At 47.8% G+C, this 27,407-nt stretch overlaps 2 protein-coding genes and 1 long non-coding RNA gene across 13 annotated transcripts in view, besides 3 other annotated features; 1 reads left to right on the forward strand and 2 right to left on the reverse strand.

The window, feature by feature from the left end:
• ETV7 (ETS variant transcription factor 7) overlaps window positions 1-15,626 on the reverse strand; it is a 33,582-nt gene extending 17,956 nt beyond the window's left edge. For 3 of the 9 annotated variants that reach the window (NM_001207035.2, NM_001207038.2, NM_016135.4), the window contains exons 1-4: window positions 15,493-15,626; window positions 13,491-13,626; window positions 3,828-3,992; window positions 1,410-1,535 (exon numbers count right to left, since the gene is read on the reverse strand). In NM_001207035.2, the coding sequence (NP_001193964.1) occupies window positions 1,410-1,535; window positions 3,828-3,992; window positions 13,491-13,626; window positions 15,493-15,498 (433 nt within the window). In that variant the 5' untranslated portion in view covers window positions 15,499-15,626. Of the gene's footprint in view, window positions 1-1,409; window positions 1,536-3,786; window positions 3,993-13,490; window positions 13,627-14,357; window positions 14,478-15,492 lie in introns of those variants that run through there. The other 6 variants (NM_001207039.2, NM_001207036.2, NM_001207037.2 and 3 more) reach the window with 5 other exon arrangements.
• Window positions 3,953-4,452: an enhancer, noted in NCBI's record as "H3K4me1 hESC enhancer chr6:36343773-36344272 (GRCh37/hg19 assembly coordinates)". NCBI's record gives its function as "activates a minimal SCP1, AML or CMV promoter by ChIP-STARR-seq in primed H9 embryonic stem cells {active_cell/tissue: H9 hESC(primed)}" and the evidence as "EXISTENCE:reporter gene assay evidence [ECO:0000049][PMID:30033119]".
• On the forward strand, window positions 14,577-19,780 carry ETV7-AS1 (ETV7 and PTX1 antisense RNA 1). Of its 2 annotated transcripts, none has more exons than XR_926758.3 (2): window positions 14,577-14,887; window positions 19,733-19,780. It is a non-coding gene; the product is annotated as an ETV7 and PTX1 antisense RNA 1 (long non-coding RNA). The 2 variants fall into 2 exon arrangements; XR_007059565.1 differs by lacking the exon at window positions 14,577-14,887 and adding an exon at window positions 15,877-16,101.
• Window positions 14,697-15,520: an enhancer, noted in NCBI's record as "H3K4me1 hESC enhancer chr6:36354517-36355340 (GRCh37/hg19 assembly coordinates)". NCBI's record gives its function as "activates a minimal SCP1, AML or CMV promoter by ChIP-STARR-seq in naive H9 embryonic stem cells {active_cell/tissue: H9 hESC(naive)}" and the evidence as "EXISTENCE:reporter gene assay evidence [ECO:0000049][PMID:30033119]".
• Window positions 15,647-15,856: a silencer, noted in NCBI's record as "silent region_17113". NCBI's record gives its function as "represses an Ori minimal core promoter by ATAC-STARR-seq in GM12878 lymphoblastoid cells {active_cell/tissue: GM12878}" and the evidence as "EXISTENCE:reporter gene assay evidence [ECO:0000049][PMID:35858748]".
• The window catches only part of PXT1 (peroxisomal testis enriched protein 1), a 52,304-nt gene continuing 43,404 nt past the window's right edge, over window positions 18,508-27,407 (reverse strand). For both annotated transcript variants that reach the window (XM_011514400.3, NM_152990.4), the window contains one exon: window positions 18,508-19,831. In XM_011514400.3, coding sequence (XP_011512702.1) covers window positions 19,727-19,831 — 105 coding nt within the window. In that variant the 3' untranslated portion in view covers window positions 18,508-19,726. The remainder of the gene's footprint in view (window positions 19,832-27,407) is intronic.

Below are 27,407 nucleotides of genomic sequence, written 5' to 3' on the forward strand. Positions count from 1 at the left end.
AATATGAGGTGAAAAAAATAAATCACCCTAAGGCAGATAGGGAAATCTGGGAAAGGAGCAGGGGTTGCCACTTTAGAGAGGCTGCTCAGGCCTCCCTGACATTAGCATTTGAACAGACCTGAAGGAGGTAGAGGAGTGAGCTCTGTGGGTATCTAGAGCAGAGAGGGGATGCCAGGCAGAGGGAACAGTAAGTGCAAAGGCCCTGGGGCAGGAGCATCTCAGACTTGTCCAGTGAACAAGAAGGCCCGAAGGCCCGTGTGTCTGGAGCAGCAGGAGCACGGGGGAGAAGGCTGGGAGGGGAAGGCAAGGGCAGGAGTCAGCGGAAGAACTGCACTTGGACTCCGAGTGAGAAGGGAGCTGCTGGAAGATGCTGAGCAGACAAGTGACGTGACCTGACTTCTGAAACTCTCTGTGCTGTGGAGAATAGATCATAGGAGGTCAAGAGCAGAAGCAAGGAGACCAGTGAGGACGTTCTCCAGAGGCAATGGGGGCTGGAATGGGGCAGCAGGAGAGGAGTGAGAAGAGGTTGGATTCTGGACAGATTTGAAGGTAGGGCTGACAGGATTTATGGACAGTTGGGATGAGTGGGGGTGGGGGTAGAAATCTAAGATGACATCTGAGCAATTGGAAGGGTGGAGGTGGGGTTTGTGGGGCTGGGGAAGACTGGAAAGGGCAGGATATCAGGCATTTGGTTTAGGGGCTGGGGGTGTTGAGAGGCCTACTAGATGCCCCAGTGGAGGGGTGGGGCAGGCAGCGTGGGTGCACATATCTGGAATTTGGAGAGGTTGAGGAAGACATATATTGGAATCCTTGGCACCACATGGTGTTTAAGACCCAGGATCAGATGAGATTGCCCAGCATCTGAATGCAGATAGAGAAGCAGAGAGGGGTACCCCAACATCTAGAAGCAGGGGAGAAGAGTAGAAACCAGAAGAGGAGGTCGAGGAGACACCAGTGGGGTAGAGGAGACCAGGTGAGTGGGGTGTTCTGGAAGCCAAGGGAAGAAAGAGTTTTGGGGGAAGGAAGGAGAGGTGACCCCCAGGGTCAAAGGCTGCGAGAGACCACAGTAAATCAGGACTGAGAGTGGCCATGGAATGGACATCCTTATTTTCAGGTTTCTGGAGACCTTGACAAGTGGTTTCCACGGAGGGCTGCAGAGAGGAAATTGAGACATGATACAAACAACTCTTTGCTGGAGAGAGCAGAGAATGGGGAGGTGGGAGGCATGGAGGGTGCAGCACAGAGGAAGGGCGGCCAGGAACGCCCCAGAGCAGGAGGTGGGGGTGGGGCGGGAGGGGAGCTTGCCCACACTGGCCACCTCTTTCATTGCTTCGCCTTGAGGATGTCCTGCCCTCCCAGTGAGGCTGATTTGAGGGAGGTACTCCGAGCACCACAGAGAGCTTCCTCACCTTCCGGGGGGACTGGAGAGTGCTGGGTGGGCGTCTTCAGCCTGAAGATCCCTCCAAAAAAGGGCCCACACACCAGGGCTCGCCGCTGGGTCTTGATGTACTGGAGCAGCTCATACAGGACGTCACCTGGAGGTGGGTGGGAGGGAGGGCAGGCTGCTGAACAGGCCACGTGGGGAGGGCCAGCCTCATCCCCCTGCAGCCACCTGCCTCAGGGCAAGGGCTGGCATGTCTTGTCACAGCTTCATGCCGATGGCAAAGGGGTTCCTGCTGCAGCTAACAGGAGGCTGGGCTGGCAATGGGCAGAGATGCTGCTGCTCCCGTGGTGGATGAATTTTAGAAAGACATCCTTTCCTGCCGGTACACGCAGCCGCCTCCAGGGCATGCAGCTTGCAAGGTCAGGCTGTTTCTCAACCCTCGCACACACCCTTGGCTGAGGGCTTGTGCACAGTGCATAAACTGTGCAACTGTACCTCACGTTCCTGGGAGCAGAGACAGTTCTAAGGCTCATGGGATTCCAAGCTTTATTGAAAGTCTGCCCTGCCTTCTAAGGAGCAAAGCTGTCTTAGCCTCTTCCTAAAAGGCAGAATGAGTAGCTGCTTCAATAAATGGTTGAAGAAAGGAAAAGCCAGGTGCGGTGGCTCACACCTGTAATCCCAACACTTTAGGAGGCTAAGGCAGGAGGATTGCTTGAACCCAGGAGTTTGAGACCAGCCTGGGCAACATGGATAGACCCTGTCTCTACAAAAATTTTAAAAATCAGCTGGGTATGGTGCGCATATCTGTGGTCCCAGCTACTTGGGAGGCTGAGGCAGGAGAATCACTGGAACCCAGGAGGTTGAGGCACAAGTGAGCTGTGTTCACGCCACCAAACTCTAGCCTGGGCAATAGAGTGAGACCCTGTCTCAAAAAAAAAAAGCCAGAATTGGGCTCTGTCCTTGGTCCCAGAAATCTTCTTTGACTCATACCTTGGGCTAAGGTGCTGATAGTAGGGCAGGAAAGAGGGGATCTGTGGGTAGAGAGCCAATCTGGGGATCCCAGGCAGCCAGAGGGATACAATGTAGACAGTGGGCACTCGAGGACCAGGAGTGCTTGTAGGAAGGTGGAGAGACGAACAAGGGCATGAAGGGGACCAGCCCCAAGCTCACCTGCTTCCCCGCTTTGCCTCAGTGCAGGACCATCAGGGCTGTGGGGAAGCTGGAAGCCTTGTCTCTCTGTCCCTGCCCTCCCCTCACCTCCCACTAGAGCTCTTGAATCCAAGCTCTTAGAGAGACGAAAGTTCCAGCAGCTGCTACAGGAGGCTCACAGTGGGAAGTGGGTGATAGAACTTGGGATGTCAGCTGGGAGCAGTGGCTCATGCCTGTAATCCCAGCACTTTGGGAAGCCAAGGTGGGCAAATCACCTGAGGTTGGGAGTTTGAGACCAGCCTGGCCAACATGGTAAAACTCCATCTCTACCAAAAATACAAAATTAGCCGGGCGTGGTGGCAGGCGCCTGTAATCCCAGCTACTCAGAATGCTGAGGCAGGGGAATCGCTTGAACCTGGGAGGCAGAGGTTGCAGTGAGCCAGGATCGCGCCACTACACTCCAGCCTGGGCGACAAAGTGAGACTCCATCTCAAAAAAAAAAAAAAAAGAACTTGGGATGTGACATGAGACTGGGCTGTATGTGTTAGGTATAAACAGGCAAATCAGCAGATTTCAGAACGTCTCTTTGCCAAATACACTGTGGGCTTGCTTGGCCAAAAGACAAGGAACACAGAAAACATGAGCGAATTCTTAAGAAAAAGACACCAAATCAGCACAAACAAAAGAGCCACTGAAAACAAGCCACACAAGACTCAGATGCGATTCTAGAGGTTCCTGGAAGGCCCTGCTGCCCGCTACCACTGGCCACCCTCCCTCCCACCACCAGTCCCTCCCCACAAACTCCGTGCTGCTGGAACACCATCATCTGACATTCATTCCTTTGCCCTCAGACCTAGTTTCTGGTTAAAATCAAAAGTCATATTGGAAGTCAAGGATTTTGCTGTTACCACCCATTTATACCTCAGTGTGAATGAATATTTGATCTTTCTCTAGTTGGTTTTTTGTTCAGTAGGGGTAGCGGGTGGGAGGCAACAGGATGGAAGTGGATAGAGGAGACAAGGGCCACAGATAAAGGGAAGAGAAAGCGAGAGAGCAGAACAGGCCCCTACAGCTCTGAAAACAAGTGGTCAAATGGACTCCCTTGCTGAAGGCCTGCTCTAGCTAGGAACCACCAGATACACACGTATGCAGAGGGGCATCTGCAGTGCTGGAAATGAGCATGATTCCCCAAGGAAGACCCCTCCATCTCCCTCCCTGGGCCCCCCGGGGGTACTTGGGCCATCCTGGCCTACCAGGGTTCCCGCTTAGAGGAAAGCCTGTGCGTTTCCCTGACCTGAGCTGGGCGCACGGTGCCGGAAGTCGTCCTTGGTGAGGATGCAGAGGGCGCGTCCGTTCATCTCGAACCCGTGCTCCGCGGTGCATGGCAGAGAGTACTCCTGCTCTGCCCAGCGCAGCCAGTGCAGCACGTCCTCCCTGCTCCACAGTGCGGGCTGGATGCCTGCAACCAGCAAGGACCAGTCCCATCACTCCCCGTCGGGCCTCCTCAAAGAAGCCCACCCTGAACACTTCATCTGAGCAGATGCTCCCCTGTCCTGGCCCCCAACCCCCATCATCTTCTGTCGCTGCCACCTGTTTCTTTCCTTCCTAGCATGTTACGTTCTTTGTAATTACATTTTACATTGGATAGAATTATGTGTTCGTGTTTGTCATTATGTATGTAGCATGTATTTATTCACTTATTTATTGTTGGTACCTCCCCACCACCTGTTTTCCAATCATTCATTCAACAAGTGTTTAACGAGAACCTACTATGTGCCAGCACTGGACTAGGCGTGCTGGAGCACACTGTTATGTGTATTCAGCACCTAGAACAGTGCCTGGAACACAGTAGGTGCTCAGAAAACACATGTTGAGTGAGTACTTGAATGACTGAACAACCCAATGAAAGGGGTGTTACTGGCCAGGCGCGGTGGCTCATGCCTGTAATCTCAGCATTTTGGGAGGCCGAGGCGGGTGGATCACAAAGTCAGGAGATTCAAACCATCCTGGCCAACACGGTGAAACCCCATCTCTACTAAAAATACAAAAATTAGCTGGGCATGGTGGCATGCACCTGTAGTCCCAGCTGCTCGGGAGGCTGAAGCAGGTGAATCGCTCGAACCCGGGAAGCAGAGGTTGCAGTGAGCCGAGATCATGCGACTGCACTCCAGCCTGGGCGACAGAGCGAGACTCCCTCTAAAGAAAAAAAAAAAAAAAAAAGGAAGGGATGTTATTGTTTCCCAAATGAGGCAGTGAGGCTCCCAGAGGTTAAGTGACTAGCCCACACGCATACAGGCAGCATGGGGCACAGCCGGGCTGTCTGGCTATTGAACTTTTCTGCTCCATTGTGCCAACTTGGAATCAGGTTTGCTCAGGGAACAGCCCAGGGGACAAAGGGAGCCTCCTACACTCACCTTCAGTGCATGTGTTTTTATTTCTGGCAGTAGCCAGACAAGTGGCTGCTTATTCTCCCCACGTTTCCACTTTGCCTGGGACTGCTACGCTCCTAATGCCAAGTTTTGGATAGTGTTCAGCAGGGCTACGTTACGACTTCATGAGCCCTTGACACATTTGCCTTTGTGGGCAAAAAATATTTAAAATACACTGAGCGTGGTGGCTCCCACCCGTAATCCCAGCACTTTGGGAGGCCAAAGTGGGCAGATCACTTGAGCCCAGGAGTTTGAGACCAGCCTGAGCAACTTGGTAAAACCCCGTCTCTCCAAAAATACAAAAAAGAAAATTTAGCCGGGCATAGTGATGCACACTTGTGGTCCCAGCTACTTGGGAAGCTGAGGTGGGAGGATCGCTTGAGCCCGGGAGGTCACAGTGAACCATCATTGCGCCACTGCACTCCAGCCTGGGTGACAGAGTGAGACCCTGTATCAAAAAAATACATAAATTTAAATCCTATTTTATGACTGCACTGGTGTAAAGACTCAGAGCTCACTGGGTTCAGTTCTACAGGTAAGAAAGTTGAGGCAGAAGAGAGAAGCAACTGTCCAAGGCCACACCTTGGCAATGATAAAGACCAGACCAGCCTCTGCTCCCTTATACTCAAAGCAACACAGGAAATGAACTTAATTTTAACATTTAAAACAAAGGAGATCTGCATCTTTCCTTGTTCATTCATTCAGCCAATATCTAATGAGTACCAGCTTGTGTCAGTCACTGTGCAGGGCTAGGGACACGGCACAGAACCAGGCTGGCAGGAGGGAGGAGCCCCACCACCAATAACTCTAACGATAGTCCTCCCGACGGCACACAGGGAACGTTCACTGTGCTGAGAAAACAGAAAGCAAGGAGCTAGAGCCCAGTTTAAGAGTGAGGAAAGGTTTCCTTTACTTCTATTTTGGGACCTAAAAATGAGTAAGAGAAAAGAGTACATGTCTGAAATTGCCAAAAAAATTATTTAAGGCAGGAAAAAAGAATACATGTGAGAACTGGCCTCTGTGGTACTGCATGTGACAAAGCCATGTAACTAAGATCAAATGGTCTTATGCTAAGATTGGCAAGTATCATTGGAAAAGAAGGTGGAGCCCAGGAGCAAGTAAGTGTTCATGCACGCACACACGCGTGCCTATGTGTGTATGTATATTTTGTAAAGTTAATACATGACAGAGGCAGGATTTTAATTCAGAGGGAAAGGATAGTTAATCTAATATGGAAAAAAAAAAAAAAAACCTGACTCTCCACCTGGAAAAAAATACATTTGGGTCCTCACCTCCCACCATTCACATTCACAAAAATCAATTGTAGGTAGATTAAAGGCATAAAGAATAGAAAAATACAAATCTTAATAGAAGTAGAAATCAAAAACCAAATGCACTCAATAAGAGCAGAGAGGACCTCAACCATGACAGGAAACGCAGAGGCTGTAATAAAAACGAAACACACATTTGACTACATTAATTTTCTGTGTTTGCTGCAAAAGATACCATAAACAAAACTAAAAGAGGGTAGATTTCAGGGAAATATTTGCAATGCAGATGACAGATAAAAGGTTAATGCCTACCATAGGTCAAGAGCATCTGTAAATTGATTTTTTTAAAGACAAAAAAAATCTTTCCAGCAATCCCAGCAAAGCAGGATTTCTCAACCTCAGCACTATTGACTCTTTGGGACTGATAATTTTTTGCTGTGAAGGCCTATCCTGTGTGTTGCAGGATGTTTAGGAATACCCTGGTCACTATCCACTCAATGCCAGCCTAGTTCTAACAACTAAAAATGTCTCCAGACACGGCCAAATGTCCCCGGGGGGAAAGGAGCAGCAAAATTGCTGCCAGGTGAGATCCCCTGTGGCACAGCAAATCCACCAATAAGCATGTGACAAGACATGTCACCTCAATAGTCAGGGAAATGTACCATCAGAGAAGAATAAGATATTTAATAGCAGGAGTGCAGGGAAAAGGATGCTTTGCTGGTGAAGATAGGAATTTAGAGCCGCGATGGGAGATGAGTCTGGTGATACATGAGACGCCGAAAGCTGACTTAGTGTAAAATGTGGAGGCCACACGATGGGCAGATTCCTGAGGGGTCGAGGGCAGGCCTCCACAGCCAGCCAGGGCTTCCGCGGCTAGGGTGTCAACCGCCAATTGCATTGTACCTGAACTCATATTTTTTGTGTAGTTCCCCTAGTTCACCATATTGGAGGCGTCAGCCTGAAAATTCAAAACTGTGATTCCTGGCCTGTTGTGGTGGCTGAGGCCTATAATTCCCAGCAGTTTGGGAGGCAGAGGAGGGAGGATCATTTGAAACCAGGAGTTTGAGACCAACCTGGACAACATAGTTAGACCCTTGACTCTACAAACAAAAAAATTTTTTTTAATTAGCCAGGCATGGTGGTGCATGCTTATAGTCTCAGCTACTCAGAAGGCTGAGGAGGGAGGGATTGAGCCCAAGAGTTCACGGATGCAATGAGCTATGATATTGCCACTGCACTCCAGCCTGGGCAACAGAGTGGGACCCTGTCTCTTAAAAAAAAAAAAAGAAGAAGAAGAAGAAGAAGAAGAAAAAGAAGAAGGCCGGGCGTGGTGGCTCATGCCTGTAATCCCAGCACTTTGGGAGGCCAAGGCAGGCAGATCATAAGGTCAGGAGTTTGAGACCAGCCTGGCCAACATGGTGAAACCCCATCTCTACTAAAAATAAAAAAATTAGCCAGGCACAGTGGCACGTGCCTGTAATCCCAACTACTTGGGAGGCTGAGACGGGAGAATCACTTGAACCCCAGAGGTGGAGGTTGCAGTGAGCTGAGATCAAGCTACCGCACTCCAGCCTGGGTGACTGAGCAAGACGCCATCTCAAAAAAAAAAAAAAAAGTAAAAACATACAACAACAACAGAAAGCATAGATGATGTTGCCAGGCCAGCTGTAAATAATGTGACCTAAATGACAGTACCTCAGTTTCATCATCAGTGAAACCAAGGATGATGAAAAAAATTGTACTGTCCACACAGGGCTGTCACAAGGATGCTTTCAGATAACCCATTTAAAAGCAGCATCTGGCATGTGGCATGTGCTTTTTGACACACATAGAGCTATAAATGTCAATTAGGTAATACACGTAAAATGCGTGGCACAGGGTCCAACACCTGGTGGGTATTATCTAGGGCGTCAATCACCCTCAAGAAGTCTCCCTGACCCAGTTGCCAGGATGAGAGTAACTGGGGCTCCCCTTCCCAATGTAAGGTGAATGTGGGACTTCACCTGCAGATCAGCCCCCGGCCTCTCCCTCTCTTGGCAATAATCCATTGCATTTTCAGTTCTTTCCCATTAACCATCTTTGTCTCTCAAGACTCCAGGCAAATGTCACCTCACTCTCCCGGCCCAGTGGCCTGCTAACTGAGGATTTCCAGCTTGGCCAGCTCCCGACTCCCAGCTCCCAAGGCAGATATGGACAGAGTCCCCTGGCTGGGGCAGCAAGAGGAGCTGCCTGTCCAGGACACAATTGGAGGGCTCAGGTGTCTCCCTGAAGAGTCAACACTGTTGTCCCCTACCTCCTCCCAGAGCAGGGCTACATGTGGGGGCTCCCCTCCACCTCCCAGCTATATCACGTCCACTGCCCTTATCTGTGGACATAGCGCTTCTTTACATAGTCACTGAATCCCCAACTAGAATGTAAGCTCCAGGAGGCACAGACTTTGCCTGTCTCAGTCACTGTGGTCTCTCCAGCCCCTATAGCAATGCTTGGCACATAGTAGCTGCTCAATAAAAATAAATTGCTTAAATAAGTGAGTTGAGCAAAGCAGTGTGGGGTCACCCCCAGGGCCTCCTTGCCTGCCCCTTCTCCAGCCCCTGACTCCCACCCCGACCCCGACTGGACCTCTCTTCCCACAGCATCCCTTTTACTCTCTTGCTGAAGAAACTATTGTTCCCAACTACCAAGCCCATCAAGTCAAAACCCCTCTGTCCTGGTTTCAAGACCCCTCAAAGTGCCCCTCCCCACCTGACCAAAGCTATTTCCCACCACTTCCCACCACACCCCTGCAGTTTACTGGGTCTAGTGAGCTCCAGGAGCCACAGAGCCTGACCAGCCTTTAGCAACCAAATCAGAATGAACAGCTGGCTTCTCCCTACCTTGCAGGATCCCCTTGCAGGAAGAATGCAGGAGGCAGTTAAAGTGCTTGGCCAGTACCCTAAAAATGGGAGCTATCATCATCTGAGGCTAGAGGCAGTTTCTCAAAGCAAATGACAGCTGTGGGGTCTGAGGGATGCCGGTTCAAATCCCAGCTCCACCATTTTACTGGTAGGTGGCTTTGGACAAGATAATTCACCTATGGCCCAGTTTACACAACTGTAAGGCGGAGATAACAAAAAAAGCTACTTTCCATGCCTACTGAATATATTCAATCAGATAATAAATACGGTATGCTCATCACAATACCTCGTCAAGAATAAAAACTCAACGAATGAATGGCCTTTATTCTGATGATCAGGATGCTGATCATCAGACCCCAGCCTGAAAACAGAGAGACTAGCTTGCTTCTCTGCCATGATGACTACGTTTTATCAATTATCATGTCCTTAGTTTATTGTGTGTCATGGTGTCTTCAGAGACTCCTTAAATCTGTCACCCCATTGCTTGGCCCCATTGTCTTGGTCGATAATCCTTTTCTTGGTAATCACACCAAGCTTTACGGTCATCACCACACTGTGGGGGCAGGGCCAGTGCATACAGTTCACGTTGTGTACTGCACAAAGATACCATCAGAGGAGGGGAATGGGAGGATGGAGGTGAAATCCAGCTGGGACTTTGATTGGCTTCTCCCCAAAGGAGGAGTCTTTCCAATTTGCACAAAGATGCATATGGTCTAGCCCAGACCCTGCATTTAGGGAGGGGAGAGGTTCTTTATCCTCATATTAATAGTTCTTGGAATTCCCCATCTGCTTGTTTGGGTCCTCACCGCCACATTCCTTTTCATTGCCAGGTGATGTCACTGTCAGTACTCACACGTTCCAGTGAATTAGAACACTCGCTTTTAATCTCCATCCTCCCATTCCACCCCACCTCTCTGGTGTTTTACACCCACATCCATCTAATCTCCTGCTTCTCATAGGCCATGATCTAGGGCAGCATTTCTCAAACCATTTTTGACCTCAACCCATGGTAAACAAATAATATTTTGTACCCACACACATATATAAAAATAGCCTAAACAAAGTAGTCACGAATCTCAGCTACCTTTACTATTTATAATGCGCTCTGATGTGTTGTTCTATTTCAATTTTTAAAAATATTTATCTTGGTCCACTAAGTGGATTTCACTTCCTTAGTAAGTCTTGACCAGCACTTTGAAAATAAATAAAATGTGGTTCTCAAGCCAGCAGCATCAGCATTACCCAGGAGTTTATTAGAAATCTGCAGAATCTCAGGCCCCATCCCAGACCTACTGCTGAACCAGCATCTGCATTTCAACACGGTTCCCAGCAGATTCATGTGCACATTAAAATCTGAGAAGCCCTGGTCTGGAATACCGGGAAGCCACAACTGTTAGCGCTGATCTATTAAATGAAGTGCCCAGGAACTCTCTCACATGTGAAGGATGTGAACTTCAGCATGGGCACCCAAAATCTGTTCAAGCTTCCCAAAGGCCCATTTCTCCTGCTTTACACCTCCAGGGAGTCACAGAGAGGTGTTATCCCTCTCCTTGCAACTCTGAATATAGGACACGGCACTCTACGTCTCTTCCCATGGCTTATTTACAGCTAGGAGCTTTGAAAGTCAATTTCAAAACACAAAGAAGTCTCATTTCCTTTGCATCCAAAGTGAGAAGTTCACAGACCTTTTCTCTGGGGAATAAGCTCCAGGGAAAAGAAGAGACGCAGGACCGAGAAGTAAGAGTCCTGGGTTGGAGGCCTAGTCTGGCCATTAGCATCACAGTTGACCCTTGCCCTCCCTGAGTCTCAGTTTCTCTGTCACTGAAGAGGCCATGGTGGTGACCATCTCTGAACTGCCTCCTCTCAGAATTCTCCCAAGTTGTCCCTTGAGGGTGCATCACCTCCTCCCAGTCCCCTGTGATATCAGCCCAGTTCTGAAAATGGTCCTAGAGTCTGCACTGCCAGCTGTCCCTGCCCTGCAGCTGCGTCCCCCCATAGCTCCTGACTCACTCTGGCCTTGGGCAGACCCTCATGGCCATGGACCGGGGATGGGGAGGTGAGAATCCTCTTTTGTTCCCCATTTCCATACAGGGAAGCATAGTTGTGAATCTCCGTGAATCCCACTCCTCCATCCCAGTAGACCTCCTGACCCTTGCCACAACCCTGGACATCACGGTTGTCCTCAGAGTGGACTTTCCACTGCTTTACTACACATCTTTGTCAGGAAAATCAACACAAAAAAAGTGAGCTCTACAGGAAAATAACTTCCGTGCTCCTCTTAGCATCAACTCACAAGGCTAAACAAGATCTGTTTTGTTTATTCACTTCCTGCTGAGGCAAATCAGTCCTGACTACTAAAATGGAGGTTGGAGGTAGGGGAGGGAATGGGGTGGGTGACGGGGAATAAACATCAGAGAGATGGGCAGAGATGGAAACCCAGCTTCCAGAAATTTAGGAAACTGGGCTGAGATCACCCCCAACAGGGCTGAAAAGTCGAATCTTCATTTGGTGTCAGCAGTTTGCTTGTTTGGGATGCTGTTGACAGGAAAATGAGTCATTTGTCATCCCCTATCTTTTAAAACTGTCAGGTATTTACTAAGGGCCAGAACTGTATTGTCTGAATATTTGCAGATGTTCCAATAAATATGAGTCATGGAATCTAAGATGACAGGTATAGAAGATGCTGCTGGGGCCCTGCCCATAGGCCCTGCCTCTCACCTCCACACTCTGAAGGCTGCCGAATGCCCCATCTGACTCTGCCTTGGGCTTTTTCTGGCTGCAGGAACCCCTTAGCCAGTGTACAGGGTAACTTGGAAATGCTGGAGAGCCAATACCCCTGGAAACAGCATTCATGCTGTCATGGAAGGGAAGTGAGTGGATAATCCCCTTACCCACTGGTTGGAATAACTTAGGATTCACTGTCCCCAGAGATCCCCGTGGTGCTAACTGGACCAAAAGAACACCTTTGGGATTTCCTTCTCTTCTCTGTCTTTCCTCCCTACTCCTCACCAGTGTTTTAGGGTCTGCTCCTGGGGAAATCTAACCCAAGGCAACAGAACTGGTAGCTCAGGAGTTCTAATCTAGGAGAAAATAGGCCACGGTGACCTGCACCCTGAGTTATGCAATCAGAGAATAGGCTGCCTCAAGAGGGGAGGAAATGCCTGTCCCTAGAAGTGTGCAGGAAGATCTGGTGACCATCTCAGAAGGGCCCACAGAAGTGATCCTGCATTGTTTGGAGGTCCTGGTGTTCTTGATGAAGATCCCTAGTCATTCATTCATTAATTCATTCAATAGATATTTAGTGAGCCTCTGAGCTTAGGAAGTTTGGTCTTAGGGAAATAGGATTTCCCAGGGCTCAGAGGAGAGTTGTGGGTCTTGTGTTTGAACCTCACTATTAGAAAGTGTTTCTTAGAAGTTGTGTTAAAATTTCTAACCTTGGCCGGGTGCGGTGGCCCACACCTGTCATCCCAGCATTTTGGGAGGCCGAGGCGGGTGGATCACAAGGTCAGGAGTTCAAAACCAGCCAGGCCAATATGGTGAAACCCCATCTCTACTAAAAAATACAAAAATTAGCCAGGTGTGGTGGCACACACCTGTAGTTCCAGCTACTCAGGAGGCTGAGGCAGGAGAATCGCTTGAACCAGGGAGGCGGAGGTTGCAGTGAGCTGAGGTCACATCACTGCACTCCAGCTTGGGCAAGAGTGAGACTCCATCACAAACAAAAAGCTAAAGAAAACTCAGCAAAGAAACAGCAAACAGAGGGAAGGTAAGTTAATCTTGGCACCTGGCAAAAATTAAATTTTTAATTGACAAATTATAAATAATAATTGTATATATTTATGCAATACAAAGTTATGGTATGAGATATATATAAAATTTTGGCCAGACACAGTGGCTCATGCCTGTGATCCCAGCACTTTGGGAAGCCGAGATGGGAGGATTACTTGAGCCCAGGAGTTTGAGAACAACCTGGGCAACATAGAGCAACCCTGTCTCTTATTTAAAAAAAAATTTAATTTTAAGGGCCAGGTATAGTGGTTCAGACCTGTAATCCCAGCACTTTGAGAGGCAGAGGCGAGAGGATAGCTTGAGCCCAAGAGTTCAAGACCAACCTGGGCAACATACTGAGATTCCCATTTCTACTAAAAATTTTAAAATTAGCCAGTGTGCCTGTAGTCCCAGCTATTGGAGAGGCTGAGGTGGGAGGATTACTTGAACCCAGGAGCTGGAAGTTGAAGGTGCAGTGAGCTATGATTACACCACTGCACTCTAGCCTAAGTAAGCAACAGAGCAAGACCCTGGATCTAAAACAAAATAAAAATTTACTTTTAAAAACTCAGCTTTTCTCCTCCCCTCTACTTACGGAGTCTTCCTGGCAGCTTGCAGATCCCCCCTTCACCCAGCAGGTTAATTTGAGCTTCACATCTGGCTTGCACGTGGGTGCCTAGGGGAGGCATGGCTGCCACAGGGCTTATAGGAGAAATAGCCAATTCTCCCTCCTAGAGAGAGAAAAACCAGGACAGTCAAAGAAGAGCATCTTGGTGAAGGCTCAGCCATCTTTAAATGTCTTAAGAATTTTTTTGGAAGGGAAAGAGTGTTTATCTCCACCAGAAGACTGCATCAACCTTAAAGGTAGGAACCATGTATATCTTCAACTCAGTACCATCAACATTTTGTACCCAGTGGACACAATAAATGACATCCTTCCAATTCAAGCTTTCCATGCATGTGCCTAACTCCAAGAGGGATCCCCTGCCAAGACTTGTATGATTGAAATCTGAAAGCCTAGGAATCCTCACTGGATCCCTGGTGAGGACAACACAGGAAACCTGAGGGGCCAGGATCAAAAGACCTTAAATCAGAAATAAACAAATAGACCAGGTGCGGTGGCTCACACCTATAATCTCAACACTTTGGGAGTCTGGGGCGGGTGGATTACTTGAGGTCAGGAGTTTGAGACCAGCCTGACCAACATAGTGAAACATTATCTCTACGAAAAATACAAAAATTAGCCGTGCGTGGTGACCGGCGCCTGTAATCCCAGCTACTCAGGAGGCTGAGGCAGGAGAATCACTTGAACCCGGGAAGCGGAAGTTGGAGTGAGCCAAGATCACGCCACTGCACTCCAGCCTGGGCAAGAGAGCAAGACTCCGTCTCAGAACAAACAAACACTATTTTCAAAAGAGAAAAAGAAAGGATAAGGATACATTTCTGAATCCTAAGGTCTCACCACGGGAAGCCTGTATCTTTACAATTCAACAATCAGCATGGCCCCCAGAGATGACGGGGTTCATCCATTCAGATGAGAAAATGAAGAAAGTGGCAGGATTTTGTAGGAATAGGAAGCTCCTTCGGGCTCATGCCCAGCCACAGGCTGCCACAGCACGGAAAGGAAAAGTGAAACCAGCTCCATCAAGTCATTTTTCACTCTAGGATTGTCAAAAGCTTTACATTCATCTCTTGGGATCCGAGGAGAGATATCTGCCGAGAGAGAATTTGGATCGGAGCCAGCAAAGCAAACTCCAGAAGCCTTGGCTGCTGCGAAAGGGGATTCAACACCTTTCCGGGTCGTTCTCACTTCATTTCCAGCCGGTCCCCCTTTGGTGCTGTTTCCCAAGTAATCAGACCTCAGGGGTTGCCTCCTGGTGGGGAAAGGGAAGCTTGCCTTGCTGGAGAAGGGGCTCAAGGCACAGGACTTGCCTCGGACTTGCCAAGGAGGCTTGCAGGAGGCTCTTTGTCTACTCCTCTGTCCTCATCCAAGTAAGAGGAGCGGGGAATTCCGAGGCTGTAACTGCCTGGGAAACGCCAGCCACGGAGCTGCTGAGGATCAGACTCCTGGGTTTCAGCATGGAGGCCAGGGAAGGGTCTGATAATGGGTATGGGTCCTGGCGAGAGGGGAGTGGAGAAAGGCCTTGGAGTGGGACGGGGCGCCAGCTCTGGGGGCAGTCTCGAGGCACCTAGAAAACCGGCGAGTGGGGAGAGGCTGCTAAAGAGGGGCTCCCTGCGAGAATGCGTTCACCAGCTGTGAGGACCTGGCTGGCGCACGAACTTCCAAAGACCTCACATCTGGTTGGTGTAGGGGCGACCAGTGGTAAGGGGGCTGCGGAAAGGGCCCGCAGGGGCTGTGCGTGATGCCTTCAGAGCTGTGTATGACACCGAGAGAGTCAGGGGCGGTGACCCGCGTCTGGAGGTGGAAGGGGAAGTGAGTGAGGGATGGATGTGAGGTTTAGGAATGTGTTGGAAAGAGAGATTCCCGCCAGGTAAAAGGTCTGATAAAATAGGTTTGGAAATCTAGGTGGTGAGGAAAGGATGCGGGAGCAGGTGGCTCTGCGTGCGCGCTGCGTGTTCAGCCGCCAGGCTCTTACCTGCATTACAGGTGGAGGTGAGGAAGCCACCGGCTTTCTGTCTTGAGCGCTCCCCTGGCTGTGGCTGCTGGGGCCCTAGGCCCGCGCCCCGCAGTCCTCCTCCGCCAAACCCCTAACCTGGCTCCGAGAACTGGAAGGTCGCGTGGGAGGAAATCTCTTTCGAGAAGCGCCAAGGCGTGTGCGCCCGGGTCCTCCGCAGGCGGGCAGGCGCGCGAGGCGCTCCGGTAATCGCTATCCTTCCGGGAAACGAAAACGAAAGAGCGGGATGCGGTTCCACTTGCGCCGCTGCGGGCTAGGAGCAGGGCAGGGCAGGGCAGGGGCCGGCCCCGTGGGAGCGCAGCACCGGGGCGCTGCCCGCTCGCTAGCCTGGGAGGCGTGGGTCCTGCACACAGCCTCCAGCCGGCGGACAGTCCCTCTGGCGACCTGGCCTTGGCTCCCACTGGGGCAGAGCCGGGATTCTGCAGGATCTGAGGATCTAAGGGGACCCCTAGTCCTGAACTCGGAACCAACTGCGTCTCTCACGGTCCCGAGCCCAGGACCAGGAAGGACCCTGTGAGTCTCCGCACATAGGATAGGAAGGGGCCTCGCATGGTGCCTCTCCCTTTAGGGGTGAGTGACCTTCCCGGCCCCGATACTGTCTCGGCCTGCCGTTTGGCCCCGCTGAGGCCCCACAGGTCCGGAACCGTCGCACCACCATCAGAGCGGCTGTGCTCTCCTGAGCAGGGCCAGACTACTCGGAGATCCCGACTGACACCTTTTCCTGGGCCTCTGGGTGCTCCGGGGTTGGTGCCTGCCCACCCATCACCCTTTCCATCTGTCTCAGCTCCCCCTGTCTCAAGAGAGGTTGTGCGCATAAAAACAAACCAGAAGACACCGAAGAAAAGGAAAGAAAAGCATTAACAACCTTCTGCTGAAAATCTGAGGGTGTAGACGCTGTTACAAAGTAGGCTTAGCACTGGTATATCATCACAAGCTCTAGGCCAGCAATAAGAAACCAGTAAGAACAAGGCCAGAAACCCAGTAGGAAAAAAAAATGAGCAAAGGATATGAATAAACAGTCCACATAAAAGGAAATGCCAAATGGCTCCTGAATATACAAAAAGATGCCCAGGGTGCAGTGGCTCATGCCTGTAATCCCAGCACTTTGGGATGCCAAGGTGGGAGGATCGCTTGAGCCCAGGAGTTGGACACCAGTCTGAACAACATGGTGAGATCCTGTCTTTACTGAAAATTTAAAAAATTAGCCGGGCATGGTGGGGCTACACCTGTAGCCCCAGCTATTCAGGAGGCTGAGGATGGAAGATCGCTTGAGCCTGAGAGTTGGAGGCTGCAGTGAGCCGTGACTGTGCCACTGCACTCCAGCCTGGGCAGCAGAGAAAGAAAAAGATGCTCAGACAAACTCACTATTTTAAATGTGCAAATTAAAGTTATTCTGAGATAGAAATTTTTACCCATAAATTTGGCAAAAATTTAAAAGTTTACTAACATAATCTGCTGGAAAAGCTGAGGTAAAGTGGTGCAACCCCACAGCGGGGTCTGGCAAATTTACAAATGCATTTTCCTTTCACCCAGCAATCTGCCTACCAGAAATTTATTCAACAAATATCCAAAGTATACATAGTTACTTATTTAATCATGGTTTATAATAGCAAAGTATGAGAAATAACTCAGGTGTCCACAAAAGGAGGCTTGATAAACTAATGCACATTCATTTCTTTTAATTTTAATTTTCTATTTTTTTTTTTTTTTTAGAGACAGGGTCTCACTCTGTCGCCCAGGCTGGAGTGCAGTGGTGCCATCAAAGCCCACCTTAACCTCCAACTCCTGGGCTCCAGTGATCTCCCACCTCAGCTCCCAAATCACTGGGATTACAGATGTGAGCCACCACACCCAGCCAAATTATGTACATTCATTTAACTGAATACAATACAACACTTTATGGAGTTCTCTGTGGATCATGGCAAGCTCTCCAAGAGGCAGTATGGCATAGTGGATAATAATCTAGACTTAGGAACACCTGCCTGGTTTGGAATCCCAGCCATGTCATTTACTGGCTGTGTGCCCTTGAGCAAGTTTGTGTTAACCACTCTACTGCCTCCCTCTACTAACTACTGCCTCAATTTTTTAACAGTAAAAAAGAGCAAATAATAATACCTATCCCATAAGGTTGTTATGAATAAGTAAGTTAACTTTTATAAAACACCCAGAACAGTGCCTGAACACCCACGCTAAGTAAAAAAATCAAGGTACAAAACAGTGTGTATTACATGCTACCTCTTGTATGTAAATATACGTGTGTGTGTGTGTGTGTGTGTATGTATGTATGTATGTATTAATTAGTATTTATACAAAGAACCTCTGGAAGGATACATAAAAACTAATAAGCATAACTGGAATTTAGAGTAGAAAATAATAGAAAGGGTTTTTGTTGTAAACCTTTTCACATGGTTGTGATTTTTTTTTTTTTTTCTGAGATGGGGTCTTGCTCTGTCGCCAGGCTGGAGTGCAGTGGCATGATCTCGGCTCACTGCAACCTCCGCCTCCTGGGTTCAAGCGATTCTCCTGCCTCAGCCTCCCGAGTAGCTGGGACTACAGGTGCGTGCTACCACACCCACCTAATTTTTGTATTTTTAGTAGAGACAGGGTTTCACCATGCTGGCCACAATGGTCTCAATCTCTTGACCTCGTGATCTGCCCACCTCGGCCTCCCAAAGTGCTGGGATTACAGGCGTGAGCCACTGTGCCTGGCCTTGTTTTGATTTTTGAATCATATAAATAAAAACCTATTCAAAATAAATTTTAAAAAGACAGTTTTAGGGCTAGTCAGCCAGAACCTAAGTAATAATAGAAATAAATATGCACTGCCTGCGACAGACTAAAAAATGGAGACATTTCCCTTTGGAAGGACAAAGTCAATGCTATGTATAATCAAAGTCTACAAACCAATATGAGCAGGAATAAGTGGCTAGACCCTGCTGTGGGGTTCCTCCTTCAAAAAAGAAATATGCACAGGGGTTTCATGCTCAATAAAATAACAATATTTATTTCATTTTTAGAATTTTTTAAAATAACACTTCCCCTATGAAGAACTCAAGATACATATGTAAACTTTTAATTTATAACAACAAGCTTTCCTAATATTTATAATTCTTTTAAAGGAGGGGAGAGAGGGACTATGAGGTAGACAAAAAGGTAAAAGAAGAAGCATGCAGGTGAAAGAACTGCCTAACAGCGTGCAGGAGAGAATGAGTGAAATACATTCCACAGGCAAAGGGCCCACCAACCAATAATAGCAAAACCATCCAGCAATAGGAAAAGAGAAGTTTTTGCCTAGTGATAGATTCATAACTCTTTCAGGTCTTACATTCTTCTAGAAGGCAGGACTGTTGGCCAAGGACTAAGCACTCCCGATTTTAAGCAGGCATGCCTAAAAGAGGATGACAGAGCAGGGAAAGATACCTTCGAGCAGGGTCGAGTGGTATGGGAAAACACTGGAGTGGTGAAGGAAGACTTGAAGGGGGTCACAGAGGAGTGAGGGGATCAAAGGTGAGAAAAGAACGTAAATGTTGTAGAATCAGAGCCTGAGAAGGAAACACCCAACGGTGCTAGTGGTAGTAGTGGGGCCTCTAGGCATGGAAATGGGAAGGTAGATGAGATGAGCCATATGTTGAATTTGAGTATTAGAGACAAATGTTTCACTTCGATTTTCCAGAGAGGGTTGGAGCCAGGATTGGGGCAGGGAGGTGACATGTCACCGAGAAGGAGAAGCTGGCACTGCAGATCTGGACATGAGTGACAAGAGTGGAGCCAACAGGTCACCAGAGGGCATGGTGCCCAGGGAGTGGGCCAGGAGGTAGTGCCCATTTCTGTGGCCTTTAGTTTGAGGACGAGGTTCTCTTTCATTCCTGGAAGGAAATGTTCAAGGTTTCCTCACAAGGAGCCCTGGGACCATCCACAGCGCTGGTGTTTTCTGGGCAGCAAGGCTTCCTGGGGTCCTAATTACTCCTTGGGCTTTACCGTGATGTGATCGCAGACATCTCATAGCTAGCTCCTCCGAAGAGACAAATGGCTCGTGAACCCGCAGTTCTTCAACAAACTGGGTGTAGACCAACAGTGATGGGTACAAAAAGAGGGAGACGGAGAAGGGTGTTCTTCCCATCTGTCCCAGTGGGATTCATGTTTCTCAGAGGGTAAAAAGAAAACAGAACTTGACCACTTGACCTTTACTTTCCTTTTACAGCAAATGGTTGTTCCAGAAAAAATGCAGCAACACCTGAACTCTTCTAAAGAAAAAGAAGACAAAATGATCTAGTGCATCTCTGCCATCCTGTTGAAGATCCTATTTGAAAAAAGGGAGACACAGAGAAAGGTTTTTTTTTTTTTTTAAAAGTGATAGAATAATCCAAAGTTAAAAATTCAACACAATGGAAAATATTAATTCAATCCATGCTGCAAACAAGCTTCTTGGGTTGCTTTATGAATTGTATGAGCTGAAGGACAGTACCTTCCATATGGTCATATCCTCACAACGCCTCTGGACATATTTTCCTATCTGACCGTCTTTCCCACCTGGCCTCAAACTCCTGGGCTCAAGTGATTCTCCCACCTCGGCCTCCCCAGTAGCTAGGACCACAGATGCATGCCACCATGTCTGGCTAATTTTTAAAAATATTTTGTGCAGACAGGGTCTCACTATGTTGCCTTGGCTGGTCTCAACAAACTGGGGCTCATCAGTAAATTGGGGCACTCTTTTCAGGGCTGATAACCTATTCCCCTGGATTCCCAAAACACTTTCTTAGTTCTTTCAAAGAGGTGAGCAAGTTTGCCTTGAGGCTAGAAGAATGGAGAGAAGACTGGGCATGGTGGCTCCTGCCTGTAGTCCCAGCACTTTGGGAGGCCAAGGCAGGTGAATGGCTTGAGTTCAGGAATTTGAGACCAGCCTAGGCAACATGGTGAAACCTCATCTCTAGAAAAACTGAGCCAGGCATGGTGGCACACACCTGTAGTCCCAGCTACTCAGGAGGCTGAGGTGGGAGGATCACCTGAGCCTGGGAAGTTGAGGCTGCAGTGAGCTGTGATTGTGCCACAGCACTCCAGCCTGGGCAACAGAGGGAGATCCTGTCTCAATAATAATAATAATAATTAATAATGTCTAGGACTTAGATGGGCAAAGAGGTGAGGTGAATATTAAGTATTTTGGAGCAGAAAGTAACAACTGTTTATGTCGGAACATCAGAAAAAGAAGACCATGGGTCAGACACAAATGCTCCCCCGCCTGCCCCCTGCAGTCTGTTCTCAGCACAGCCCCCTCTGTGGACTGTTGAAATGCGGCTTCTCTGCTCAGTGCCCTCCGATGGCACCACCTCACTTAGAAAAAAAGTCCTTGCAGTGACCTCAAGGCCCTACCTAATCTGCCCACCACCCACCCTTCTGACCATATCTTTTTTTTTTTTGAGACAGAATTTCGCTCTTGTTGACCAGGCTGGAGTGCAATGACACGATCTCGGCTCACCACAACCTCCACCTCCCAGGTTCAAGTGATTCTCCTGCCTCAGCCTCCCGAGTAGCCGGGATTACAGGCATGCACCACCAAGCCCGGCTAATTTTTTTTGTATTTTTAGTAGAGACAGGGTTTCTCCATGTTGGTCAGCCTAGTCTCGAACTCCCGACCTCAAGTGATCCGGCCTCCCAAAGTGCCGGGATTACAGGCGTGAGCCACTACGCCTGGCCCTGACCATATCTTTTATGACCTTCTCCCTCACTCAGCTTCAGCCACACTGGCCTCCTTGCCATTCTTCAAACACACGAGATGCACTCCTGCCCCAAGCGCTTTGCTGTCCTCCTGCCTCCAATCCTCTGCCTCCTCCCCAATATCCACAGCTCAGTCCCACACTTCTTTCAAGGTTTTCCTCAGAAGTCACCTTCTTGGTGGCTCATGCCTGTAAGCACTTTGGGAGGCCAAGGCTGGTGGATCACTTGAGCCCAGGAGTTTGAGACCAGCCTGACCAACATGGTGAAACACCCCCTCTACTAAAAATACAAAAATAGCCAGGTGTGGTGGTGCATGCCTGTAATCCCAGCTACTCGGGAGGCTGAGGCATGATAATTGCTTGCACCTGGGAGCAGAGGTTGCGGTGACAACTTTGTGCCATGGCATTCTAGCCTGGATGACAGAGTGAGACTATGCCTCAAAAAAAAAAAAAAGTCACCTTCTCAATGAGGCCTTCCCTTAACATCTCTACTTAAAATTGCAAACCCCAACACTCCTTATCCCTTTCCTTGCTTTATTTTTCTCCAAAGCATGTATCTCTATCTGATAAACTACATACTTTATTTGTGTAGATACTGTTTGTCTCCCTTAAAAACTCCGTGAGATCAGTAATATTGTCTCTTTGATCACTCCCATATCTCCGGTACTTAAACAGAGCCTGACATACAGCAGGTGCTCAATATAAGTTGAAGAAATGAATTCAGGAAGGAATGAAAAACCATTAGCAGTAGGCTAAGGAACTTAGACTTTGTCCTGCTAGTAACCGAAAATCATTAAAGGATTTTTCTCCCCCTCTTATAGTCGATATCAGCTAGGAAAACGGAATGAGTTTCCTTTCAGCATGGCAGACAAGAAAAAGTATAGAACACTGAGTCAGATGCTCATATATTTAAATTCTAGTTTTGCCACTTAGAAGCTAAGTGACCTTTGATAAGTTTTGTAATCTCTCTGAAACTCCATTGCTTCTCCTGAAATACCTATGACAGTAATTCATAGGGTTATTGGGGGAATTAAATGAAACATGTAGAAGTGTCTCAAACAGTACCTGGAAAAAATGTTTTAATAAATGTTTGTTTCCCTCCCTTCTTTCTAACAAACTGAGAAATTCCCTATGCATTATGATATCAGTCAGATTCCCAGAGGAAACAGATGGCACACCCAAATTAGGCTAATTCGAGGTGAGTTAAATAAAGAGACTCTAAAAGGTGTGGAGAAACCACAGAGGATGGTGTAGTACCTAGACCCGGTGACAACTCTGTTGGGGCATAGAGACAGGGGCGTAGGGACAGGGAGGGAGGAGTTTCCAGAACCCAGAAGGAGAGAAAAATTTCAAAGGCATATTTAAAATTCTAAAAGTGATGAGAAGCCTAACTATTTTAAAACATGCTTTATATCTAGAAAAAGCATATGTCCCGGGTTTAAAAAAAAAACTGAATTAAAAAAAAAAGCAGATACTTGAACCAAAACCCCACACAACTCAATGGCAAAATAGAAGATTTTTTTTTTCTTTTTCAGATTCAGGGTCTCCCTCTGTCACCCATGTTGAAGTGCAGTGACACAATCATAGCTCACTACGGCCTCGAATTCCTGGGCTCAAGCAATCCTCCCACTTCAGCCTCCCAAGTAGCTGGACTACAGGCACACACCACCACACCTGGCTAATTTTTTTAAAAATTGTTTTGTAGAGACAGGGATCTCAAACAAAAAAAAGAGAGAGAGAGAGACAGGGGTCTCACTATGTTGCCCAGGCTGGTCTCAAACTCCTGGCCTCAGCCTCCCAACGTGCTGGGATTACAGGTGTGAGCCACTGTGCCCGGCCTAAAAGATGTTATTTTGAGAAACACAGAACACTTTTGAAAAGACAGAGCACTTGCTTAAGTAAAAAGAACAAGAGAGCAAAAAATTTGGCAGCTCAACAACAATCCATTTAGCAGATAAAAATATAAATTGATGAGCTGCTTGATAGGCAGTTCCAAGAGCAAGAATAAAAGTTTCTTTAAATACATCAATGGCAGGAAGGCATCTAGAGAATCGATGTGACTGCTTGATTAAACAGAGTACAAAAGGTAAATAAATGATGACTATATAGGAAAGAAAGTTACCATGCCAGACTTGAAATTCTGTTAAAGTTCCTTGATTTGAACTTTGAAGCAGCAAAGCCTTCAGCATTTCAGAGCCAAACTTAGGATTTTTTTTTTTTTTTTTTTTTTTTTTTGAGACAGGGTCTCACTCTGTTACCCAGGCTGGAGTGCAGTGGCACGATCACAGCTCACTGCAGCCTTGACTTCCCAGGTTCAAGCGATCCTCCTACCTCAGCCTTACGAGTAGCTGGGACTGTGGCCACCACACTCGGCTGGAATTTTTCAAACTATTATTTTTTAAATGTGTTGTGGTCTATTTAAAGGTGTTCTAGGCTGAGCGCGGTGGCTCACGCCTGTAATCCTAGCACTTTGGGAGGCCGAGGCAGGCAGATTGCTTGAGCCCAGGAGTTTGAGACCAGGCTGGGCAACATGGTGAAATCCTGTCTCTACAAAAAAATACAAAAAAATTACCCAGGTGTGGTGGTGGGCAACTGTGGTCCCAGCTACTCTGGAGGCCTACGTGGGAGGATTCCTTGAACCTGGGAAGTTGAGGCTGCAGTGAGATAGTGCCACTGTACTCCAAATTGGGCAACAGAGTGGGACCCTGTCTCAAAAAACAAACAAACAAAAGAAGGTATTCTAAAGTACAAGTTTACAGGTTTATAGTACAGAACAAATGTCTAGGTCAAAACCAGCTTTATAAAGTTCTGCAAGAAAAGCTGGAGCAGGCATAAGGATAGCTATACAGATCAGCGGAACAGAATTGAGAGTACAGAAAGAAACCCTCATATTTACAGCCCACTGGTTTTCAACAAGGGTGCCAATGATGGCAATGGCTGCTGTCCTCATGCTGGCTGCAGCAGGAAGGTGCAGCTGGGGCCACATGCTCCATGGAGCCAGTAGGAGCCCAGCCCCTTCTGAGTTGGGGCAGGAGCTCCCTGGGTGCCACTGTGGCCACCCTCCCAGTTGCAGGACCCAGGCATCTCTGCAGCTTGCACCCTCAGGGGCCCCAGGAAGCACCCTACCCCTACCCCTGAAGGCTCAGGGGTGTCTGCTGCCACTGCCTGGCCTCTCTCTGCTCCCAGAGCCTGCTCCAATCTCTGAGCAGGGGTTGGGGCTGAGTCCCGCATGGCGCCGGAGGCAGATTGATTCCTGGGTGGAAGGGGGTGGGTCCCCAGTGAGACCCCACCTTCAGGCCAGGGAAGGCCTAAAGGCTGGGGGCTAGGCTGCCAGTCCTGTGGACCAGAGTGAGGACTGGTGGTGCCTCTTCCAGGCCCACCCATGGCCACCCATCGACCAATCAGCATGCACTGCCTCCCCTCTGAGGTCCATATAAGCCTTGGGCTCAGCCAGAGCAGGGCAGATGATGTCCTCAGGACAAAGAGGGTAGAGAGACAATGGAATGATCAGCTGCAGAGAGGAGCTACCCTCCCTGCTGATAGCTGGAGATGAGGAAACAACAAGTTGCAGAGAGGAACTGCCCTCTCTGCTAAGAGCTGCAGAGATGACCTGCTGGCAGAGAGGAGCCACCCTTCCCAGGGCCGCCTCTCCACTGACAGCTGCAGACATTGGGACGACTAGTTGCAAAGAGGAGCTACTCTCTCCAGGGCCTCCTCTCTGCTGAGAACTGAACACTCAATGGATAACCTGCCTACAGAGAGGAGCTACCCACTGCGGATCTCCTCTGAGCTGTTGTAACACTCAATAAAGCTCATCTTTGTCTTGTTTACCCTTCACTTGTCTGCATACCTCATTCTTCCTGGATGCATTCTTACTGGGTGCAGGAAAAGAACTTGGGCAAAAGATGCCATGGCCACAGAGGTTTCCGGCCAGAAAATTGACACCCCAAAGATCCCATAACACCAAGACAATTTATAGGGAAACAATAGTCTTTTCAACAAATGGTACTCCAGGCACAGTGAGATGTACCTATAGTCCCAGCTACTTAGGAGGTTGAGGTGGGACGATCTCTGGAGCCCAGGAGTTTGAGGCCAGTCTGGGCAGCATAACAAGACCCCGTCTCAAAGAAATAAACAAACAACAACAAAATCCAAATGGTGTTGGGACAACAACCCATATGCAAAAAAATGAAGATAGACTCTTAACTAAAATGTATGTAAAAATTAACTTCAAATGGATCAAAGATCTAAATTTAACAATTAAAACTAAAAAGCCTTTAGAAGAAAACATAAGTGTGACACCCAAAGCAAAAGCACTAGCAACAAAAAGAAAAGTAGATAAATTGAACTTCATCAAAATTCAAAACTTTTGTACTTCAAAGTACACTATCAATAAAGTAAAAGGACAACCTACAGAATGGGATACGATATTTGCAAATCATATATCTGATAAGGAACTTACATCTAGAATATACAAATGACTCCTAGGCCAAGGCAGGAGCCCAGGAATCCAGGACCAGCCTGGGCAACATAGTGAGGGCCTGTCTCTACAAAAAATAAAATAAAATAAAAATTAAAAAATTAGCCAGGTGTGGTGACATGTGCCTGTGGTCTCAGCTACTCAGGAGGCTGAGGTGGGAGGATCAATTGAACCCAGGAGTTCAAGGCTGTGTGAGCTATGATCACAGCACTGCACTCCAGATTAGGCAACAGAGCAAGACTCTGTCTCAAAAAAAAAAGACTCCTACAATAATAAAAAGATAAGTAGTCAATTATAAATGGACAAGGATATGAATAGACATTTCTCCAAAGAGAAAAATGACCAATAAGCATATGAAAAGATGCACATTATTCATCAGGGAAATGCAAATCAAAAGCACAATGAGATACACTTCATACTCACTAGGATGGCTACAATCAAAAAGATAGTTAATAACAAATGTTGGCAAGGATGTGAAGAAACTGGAACCCTCATACACTGCTGGTGGGCCACAGTGTATAATAGTGCAGCCACTTTGGAAAACAGTCTGGAAGTTCCTCAAAAAGTGAAACATAGAGATTTCACATGACCCAGCAATTCCATTCCTAGGTATGTACCCCAAAAAAATAAAAACATGTCTACACAAAAAGTTATATACAAACATTCACAGCATCATTATACATGATAGCCACAAAGTGGAAACAACCCAAATGTCCAACCACTGGTGAATGGATAAGCAAAATGTGGTATATCGTACAATAGAATATTCAACTGTAAAAAGAAGTAAAATACTGATACATGCTACAATGTGGATAAGCCTTGAAAAAAGTATGTTAAGTGAAAGAAGCCATACACAAAGTTCCATGTTGTGTTATTCTACTTATATAAAATGTCCAGAATAGGCAAATCCACAGAGACACAAAGTAGATTGGTGGGGCTGGGCTTTGCACTGGCTGTTCCCTCTGCCTGGAACACTTTCCCACTCCAGGTGTTCTCATGGCTAGCTCCTTCATTTCCAGGCTCTGCTTAAATATCACCTTCCCAGAGATGCCTTCCCTGACAGCCCATTGGAAGTCACTCTCCATCAGTCAGTGTGCCCTGATCCTGCTTGGAGCTTGCATCCCTGTCTGACTTGGCTATTTATTGTTCATCTGCCTTGTTATCTGCCCCCTCCCCACATCATTTCTATGAGCCCTGCTGCTCACTGCTGTAGCCACCAATGCCTGGAACTGAGTCTGGCATATAGTAGGCATTCAATAAATATTTGTTGGAATGAAATTGGCTTATCAAATAGTTTATTTGATTGCCTATGTTCTCTATGTTTATTTTCTCTTTATTTCTCTCTTGCTTTATTTTATTTTATTTTATTTCATTTCATTTCATTTCATTTCATTTTTTGGGACAGAGTCTCACTCTGTCATCCAGACTGGAGTACAGTGGCATAATCTCAGCTCACTGCAACCTCTGCCTCCCAGGTTTAAGAGATTGTCCTGCCTCAGCCTCCCGAGTAGCTGGGACTACAGGTGTGTGCCACCATGCCTGACTAATTTTTGTGTTTTTCAGTAGAGACGGGGTTTCACCAGGTTGGCCAGGATGGTCACGAACTCCTGACCTCAAGTGATCTGCCCGCCTTGGCCTCCCAAAGTGCTGGGATTACAGGCGTGAGCCACCGCACCTGGCCCCCT

This window comes from Homo sapiens, chromosome 6 (assembly GCF_000001405.40).
Source record: "Homo sapiens chromosome 6, GRCh38.p14 Primary Assembly".
NCBI classification, from domain to species: Eukaryota; Metazoa; Chordata; class Mammalia; order Primates; family Hominidae; genus Homo; species Homo sapiens.